Source organism: Homo sapiens, chromosome 4 (genome assembly GCF_000001405.40).
Source record: "Homo sapiens chromosome 4, GRCh38.p14 Primary Assembly".
Taxonomy (NCBI): Eukaryota; Metazoa; Chordata; class Mammalia; order Primates; family Hominidae; genus Homo; species Homo sapiens.
Window position 1 is genome coordinate 113,869,790 of NC_000004.12, and position 8,156 is coordinate 113,877,945.

At 39.0% G+C, this 8,156-nt stretch overlaps 1 long non-coding RNA gene across 1 annotated transcript, besides 1 other annotated feature; it reads left to right on the forward strand.

Moving 5' to 3' along the window:
* Positions 292 to 451: an enhancer, noted in NCBI's record as "active region_21839". NCBI's record gives its function as "activates an Ori minimal core promoter by ATAC-STARR-seq in GM12878 lymphoblastoid cells {active_cell/tissue: GM12878}" and the evidence as "EXISTENCE:reporter gene assay evidence [ECO:0000049][PMID:35858748]".
* Positions 1,957 to 7,296, forward strand: LOC105377375 (uncharacterized). Its single transcript, XR_939087.3, has 3 exons — positions 1,957 to 2,033; positions 3,794 to 3,904; positions 6,766 to 7,296. It is a non-coding gene; the product is annotated as an uncharacterized LOC105377375 (long non-coding RNA).
* The last annotated feature ends 860 nt before the right edge of the window (positions 7,297 to 8,156 follow it).

Consider the following 8,156-nt stretch of genomic DNA (forward strand, 5'->3'; position numbering starts at 1 on the left):
ACAGCAATTGGAATAGAATATGTACGTGTGGTGGATTATTTGCAAAGACAGCCATGAGTAAGTCCTTCCATCCCTGTATATGTATGCCTCTCCTTCTATGAAGAGGCAAAGTCTGTTTTCCTCTGCCCTTGAATTTGGGCTGTGATATGGTTTGGCTTTGTGTCCCCACCCAAATCTCATCTTCAGTTGTGGTTAAGGGAAAGACCTCATGGGAGGTGATTGTATCGTGGAGGCAGTTTCCTCCATGCTGTTCTCATGACAGTGAGTGAGTTCTCATGAGATCTGATGGTTTTATAAGGGGCTCTTCCCCCTTTGCTCTTCCACTCTTCTCTCTCTGATGCCATGTGAAGAAAGTCCCTTTGCCTTCTGCTATAATTGTAAGTTTCCTGGGGCCCGCCCAGCCATGTGGAACTGTGAGTCAATTGAAACTCAGGTATTTATTTATAGCATTGTGAAAACAGACTAACATAGGCTGGTTGTGTGACTCATTTTGACCAGTGGACTGTGTTGAAGTGATATTGGTTGACGCCTGGACCTAGATCTTTTTTTTTTTTTTAATTTACCAAGTTTTTTTTTTTTTCTTTTTTTTTTCTTTTTTTTCTTTTATTATTATACTTTAAGTTTTAGGGTACATGTGCACATTGTGCAGGTTAGTTACATATGTATACATGTGCCATGCTGGTGTGCTGCACCCACTAACTCGTCATCTAGCATTAGGTATATCTCCCAATGCTATCCCTCCCCCCTCCCCCCACCCCACAACAGTCCCCAGAGTGTGATGTTCCCCTTCCTGTGTCCATGTGATCTCATTGTTCAATTCCCGCCTATGAGTGAGAATATGCGGTGTTTGGTTTTTAGAGACTTTGCAGCTTCCGTTTGTCACTCTCTTAGAAGCCACCCATCATGTAAAGAATTCCAGCTACTGGCTAGAAAAAAGTCCATGGGGACAGAGACAAAAATCTTGGAGGAAGAAAGATCATAAAGTAGAGAGGTCCAGACAACTCCCAGTTATTCTAGCCATCCCAGTTGAATGGCAGATTTATAGATGAAGCCGTCTTAGATCCTCTGGCCTTTCCTAGTGAAATGTATGCAAATGAAAGAATTGTTTGCTATTTTCTTCTTTTATAAAGCCATTGATGATGAAATAAAACGAAATTCTGCCAAAATAGATGTCAAGAGGCTTATTCTGAGCCAGTATGAGTGACCATGGCCTGGGGTTATACAACCTCAAGGGGTCCTGGGAAAGTGTATCTGAGGTAGTCAGGTTATAGTTTGGATTTATATGTGGAAGATTCTGCAGGGTGAGGTGGGACATCTCAGTGTGGAGTTGGGGGTTGTGTAGTGGGCAACTTGTAAGTCATAGGTGGGTTTTAGGGATTCTTTAGTTGACAGTTGATTGAGAGAGTTAAACTATTGTCCAAAGACTTGGATTCGGTAGAAAGGAATGCTTGAGTTAAGGTTTTTCTTATGTAGATAAAGCCTCTCAGGTAGCAGCCCTGGGTGAGAATAGATGGGAAATATCTCTTTTCAAGCCTTAAAGGTGTAAGACTCACAGTTAATCTCTCCTAGATCCAGGAAAGGCCTAGAAAGGATAGACCTGCCTGCATTAATGGAGATTCTCTACAGATGCAAATTTCTCCCACAAAATATGACTTTGCAGGGCCATTTCAATTTGTTGGCCCTGTGGTAGTTATTTCTAAATACATCAAATAAAAGTATTTTGGGATGAAATATTTTGATTTCCTTCAGGATTTGCTATCTATCATGTGATGCTACACCAGAGTCAGGTTGGAAAGCAAGCCACATTATATGTGATTAATAATAAACATCTAATGAGATTTTGTGATTTGTAGGGCAATACCTTCTAGGCCCCTTAGATGGGAATTTTGGCAAGAGAAGAAAAGGTCAGATTTTAGTCCTCACCATTAAGTATTGTGGTGTTTTGTTATACAATAGGAGGTAACTGAAATGTTGTGTGAACCAGATCTGGCTAATGAGGAGAGGAGCTTCTGAGGCACAGAGCTGATGGGCAGGTACCTTTTTTTCTTTTTGCTCCTTTCTTTTTCTCCTTCCTGAAACAGGATTGTTGCAAATGCAGCAGCAATTTTATGATCAAGAAATGAAAAGCACGAGGATGAAGACCTATAAGTTAAGGATAGTGGAGAAGAGAGAGAGAGAGAGAGCCAGAGCCAATGCTAATGACATTGCTAATGACATCCCTGAACTACCATGCTTTCCTCACTTCTGTCTATCCATAGAATTCTTGTAGTTGAATAAGCACTTAAATGTTTGCATGTTAAATTTTTCTATTACGGTTGTTGTTCCTTGCCCTTGAATGTAATTTAAATGGACTCAGCAGATTTTAAAATTTTCATTAGAATTTTAAGACTTTACAAAATTTATGACATAATTGTATATAGCAGATTCAGGTTACAAATATAATGGTACTAACAGTAAGAAAAGTATCCATTTCTGTCTGTCTATTTTATAATCTACTGGAGATAGAATAGGATGGGATACTACTCCTTTTTCATGTAGTTTTTTTTTTTCTTCTTCTTCTCTTCACAAAACCCGCACCACTATCTCACTGATGCTATGCCCACTAACCCCAGGCTTTAGTCACACATAGGAAATAGCTGCCATTCTGTGCTTTCATAATGGTTAACCATGCCTTTCACTTAAAGAATTCCAGAAATTGGCTTTAGGAGAACTAAACATTGAATGAATCTTGTGAAGTGTCCCACCTTGGGAAGGAATGCTGAACAATTGATGTATAGCCTTATTGCTGCTGGCCAGACCACCAGGTAGCCCATTACTCAAGAAAACCATAGCAACAAGATGCGCTGACCTGCATACCCTACTTCTCATGTGCTTTGCCCAGCTCAGCCTGCATACTTTACCCCTGATGTCAATTCCTGTGCTTTGCTTAATAAAAATAAAAAAATACCTCTTGCAGATTTTAGGCTTTTTCAGAGAGCCAGCCAGAGGATCCTTCCACCTCACCTCTGCTGTCTCCCTTTTGCTCAACCACAAGTCCCAAAATAAAAATCTTGTCTGGGAAATCTGCTTGGCCCTGTGTTAACTTCTGTTACATGGGAGCCAAAGAGCCTGTGGTCTGTAACAGGTTCTCTGGCAACCATGACGGGATTATAGGACGTGGTGAGCATTTTTCTCCAAGGAGGAGGCTTGTGAGCCAGCATGATGGCGGGGTGTGCCTGCCTCCTTCATGGGTGACAGGTGGTCACCTGAATCTTTGATTCAGCATTGCCACAACTGGTGAGTTTTCTTCTTGCCTCCCCGAGACTGCCAGACAATGCTTCTCTCTTCTCCTGTCCCCTATTTGTTGTGTCTTTTTCCTTCCTCTTTCCTCCTACTTTTCCTTCACTTTTCATTAACTTCATCAGCTCAAATTGAATAGACACCTGTGCAGGACAGATTGCAATGGCTGATTGGTTCAGCTGGTAGGACTGTCATCTTTAAGTCTGCTAAGCGCTTTTCCTCCCTTTCCCACACCTACGGGGAAGGGAAGCCTGTGGGCTTTTCTGTTGTCTATCTTTTCGGGCATATTATCCTATGGACTGTGGGTGCTGCCTTTTGAGGGGAGAATTGACAGCACATGGTTCCAGAGTTTGAGCTACTGACTTCCTAATCCATTTTTCCCTGTTTGATTTGACAACATATTCCCCTATGCCTCCTGTTGGGTGGCATCTTGTAAAAAGTGAGAGACTTTTGCCTATGATTCCATAAAACAGAAAAAGATGTGCTTTTTTTTTTTTTTTTTTTTTTTTTGTAGCATGGCTTGGCCCCCACAGCTATGGCACAGGGAGCAGGGTCATCAAAATCCACTCTGCTCTTCCAGAAGCTGCAGAGAGAGGGAACCCTAAAACCTGACATGCCAGAAAAGGTAAACATTTCTTACCAGCCAGACTCCTGGCCTCTCTGTGTAAACCAGTTGATGAAATGTGAAAATCACTGTTTGTCTCCCCTGCAAGGTTTTGATTAATGGGAAAAGGGATTTGTGAGACTAGTCTTCAGCTGTAGCAAATCTTGTGTACTTTGAGCTATATAAATTTGTCTTTCTGTGTTGTTCTGTCATAAAGTGTGGCCCCATAGGATAAAATACGAGCCTAGGCCCTCTGTAAGCCTTCTGTTGCAAGCCAGCCCTGCAGACTGGTCAGCTACAAACTTTGCTGTTGGTCCCTTAAAAAAAAGCCAGATGAGGTTTCCCTCTCATCTTGTTTTACGTCCTTGGGAGCTTGACCTTGTGACCATGTGGGGGTACCTCTCCTGGTCTCTACCATCTGGAGGGCTGGAATTTTCAGGTTCATGTCAGGCAGCTAGCCTGAAAGGACTTGGAGTCTGAGCTGCATCAGCACACTCTTTGTCCTGAATGTGTCATGCCCTTGGGTGAGTTTTGTCTTAAATGGTCCCATTTCTATGTGGCTTTAGTTGTCTTTTGCTGTCTTAGGTCATTTCTGAGAATGAATTCTTGGGAACCATGTAGATGCCTCCTTTACTCCCTCTAGATATACCTTTTGCTTATATAGTAAAAACCTCTAAAATTACTATCTGAACTTCAAAAGGCTTTTGGATTCACTCACTATTGGAACTAAGTACACCATCAACAGAAAAAAAGGACTTCAGAGATCTCTTATTCTCAACAATTAAAGAAAAAATGGTTTAAAATAAAAGAAGGACGTGTAATAATGTCATAGCTAGCCTTTAAAATGATCTTGAGCATCCTGGTCAACAGAGTGAAATGCAAAATTTTTTAGAAAGTAAAAAGTTATATTGAGCAGTTAAAAATATTTTGCAACCTAAAACATGACTGCTCTAGGCTCCTTCTGGGAAGAGCAGTGGCAACTGCCATATGCTGTAGCTCAGTAGCTATAGACCTTGCCCTTTCATGAGGTGTGTGGCCTTGGTTCAATTCTCAGCTTAAGGAATAGGTTCTTTTTGTTTTGATAATTATGTAACCTTTAATACTTATTGATTCTTTTCTCCTCCATGAACAGCTTCTGAATTTGTCTCTTGAATTTTTCTTTCTCTGAGTTATCTTTGGGGCAATTCTAGCTCTTGTAAAAACCACTTGCCATCTTTTTGGAGACAACCTGTGATTCTGTGGTTAAGTCATAACCTTACTTAAGGCTTATTGGTTTCACTCAGGAAAATACCTTTAGGAAAACAAAAGGCTTAAAAGCTAGAGGTGTCAGCTGTTTGTCCCAGCCAAAGTCTCGTAATAAAAGATTTAAAAGAATTTTTAAATAAAAGAGCTCTATGCTTAGAAGTGAGCTTAATTAAAAGGGGATATCAAAGCTATATGCATACTTAAAAGGCCGTTATGTTTTTTCTCTTCTTGGATCTTGTTTTTTGAATATATATTATATATATATTATATATATATTTTTTCTTCTCAGTTGACTGAATTGTTTCTCCATTTACTTTTGTCTGTCCTCTTGCTACCCTCAAGTTCACATGAGAGGACCTAAGGTAATTTCTGACAGCCTTGGGAAAAACAGAGGAGGTCTCACAGGCCCTGTTTTGGGAGAAATCTGTTTTCCTCATGGAACCCAAATAATTCTAAGTGGACAGATCCCTCTCAAAACCTAAGGCTCTGCTGTGTTTTGCACTGCATTGTGTTACCCGACCTCTTTGACTTTTGTGGGCATCAGAAATTACTTTGCATTATTTAAAAAAAAACCTTAATTTGTAATAGCTAAATAAGAGATATACTTTTAAAAATGTCTAATGGCAATTGTTTATAGTGAGTAGCTACTACTACAAGCCGGTACTCCTTTCTTTGTGCATTTAGATAAGAAAAACATGCTCTTGAGCACCTAGAAGGTATAGAATGGGGGATGGGCTGATTACAGAGTGGGCTGATTGCAGTTGGGTTGCCCACCAGCCTTGGAGAAATGTCCTTGCAATGAAATACACTGTGAAAGTGTTGCAATGTCCCATCCCATAGTATGTGTCTCTTTTTTGGGACCCAAGATTCAGTGTAAAAATGGGATTCTTGACAACTCTCCATGCGTAAGAGTATCTGCTTTTCCTGGCGATCTCACATGAACTTTTACTCAAACCATATTTTCTTGGTTTGATTAAAATATAAATTCTCTATCTTATTTCACCTAAGAGTTGTCCCTTTAGATATACAAATTAGACTTGCCTCGCTGACAATTGCTTAGGACAGGGAACAGGTAGTCAACAGACTAATCGCCTAAAATGGAAAACAAAAGATTTTTCTTTACCTTTTAAATAACTATAGAAAAAAGAGAGAGGAGGAAATAAATTCAACTGGCCTCATGCTGTCTTTATTGGGTCTTATTGTTTGGAAAGCTGAGTCTCCCCTCTATCAATGAGTACAGGTTTTTGGCTTAAAAAATTTTTAGAGTTATCACTTTGGCTAAATAAATGGCTTATAGTAGCCTGGGATTCTGTTCTGTGTTATCAAGTGTTTTAAACCTTTTGATATCTGACAAACTTTTCAAGATCAAATTAAGCATTGGGTACTTTTAGGTCCAAAAGAGATATTTTTGGCTCATTTGGTATATTAAACCCATATAAGAAACATTGTTAAATAAAAAATGTTGTTTAACCTTCATTAGATTATATTCCTATAAATGTGTTAATATGTATTTGAAAATTATATGAGATTCCTATAATTCTGATATGCCTCACTATATGTTATTAATAATTGTGATTGTTATGTTAAATTATTGTGTGCCACAGAGATTACCAGATTTCTTTTTTTTTTTTTTTTAGATGGAGTTTTGCTCTTGTTGCCCAAGCTGGAGTGCAATAGCGCAATCTCGGCTCACTGCAACCTCTGTCTCCCAGGTTCAAGTGATTCTCGTGCCTCAGCCTTCCAAGTAGCTGGGGTTGCAGGCATGCACCACCACACCCCACTAATTTTTGTATTTTTAGTAGAGATGGGGTTTCACCATGTTGGCCAGGCTGGTCTCAAACTCCTGACTTCAGGTGATCCGTCTGCCTCAGCCTTCCAAAGTGCTGGGATTACAGGCGTGTGCCACCACGCCCGGCCTGATTACCAGATTTTCTTGTTGATTGTGTCATTAGTCATGGCTATCCTAAGACTTTTGCCATCCACAGACAATTGTTATCTTGTTTTGATTCTTTTCAAAAGGCAGTTTATAATCAGCTATAGAACTCTGACAGGTGTTCTTGAAAGCAAGTCTCTGATAACTTTGGAGATTGGACTATTAGAATAGAGGAAAAAACTTCTAAGACTTTCCTGGAGATGTTACATGTTAATAAATATTGAGTGGAACAAGAGTTAATTGCATGGACTAAACTAATAGAAAATCGAAATAATCTTTTTATAAATTTCCTGAAATTCTGCTGATCCTTTTTGTTTTGGTTTTCAGAGTCAAGAAAACTTTTTTCCTGTTGAACTAGTTATATCTTTTAACAATTAACTACTATATATTCCTATAAGCAAATTTGGAGCATGTTTCTTTCTACCTGATTTCTTTAGAATTTGGAAACTATTTGTGACTATTCTTAACTTATGGCAATATAGTTATTTGCATAAGTTCAATAAGAATCTGTTTTCTTTTGTAACAGAACACAAGTGGGGACACTGGCTATTTTACCAGGCTTTTGACTGAAATGGCATGCTTCCAACTGCTTTAAAAATTTGAGGTTGACTTATAAAGCCGATAAAAAGCCCCTTGGAGAAACTGGCCTCATACCTTGTCTATGCAGTCCCTGTATAGAGTAAAAAATGTCACTTTCTAACAGGTTCTGGAACTCCAAGTTGTATTGGGACCTTAAGAGGGGAGGAATTCACACAATTCATACAAGTATTTATAGGGACAGATAAATCAGTGGCTAGGTTCAAGGCTTTAAAAAGTCTAAGCTAAGGTTCCTTACAGAACAAAGTTCCCGCAAAATAAAAAATATATATATATGAGAGTCTATACGACAAATAATTATTCTTGCTGCACTTTATGCAAATAATCAGGCCAAGTATAATAAGACTAAAACTTAATTGCAAACAAATCAGTACTACCATGATTTGTCTTTGATAAAAGTGAAACTGGAGACAAAAAGACCATAACATACCTGTTGTTAGATTCTAGTCTTGTCCATTGTTATTGAGTTTTAAAATATTATTTTCTATGCAACAAATA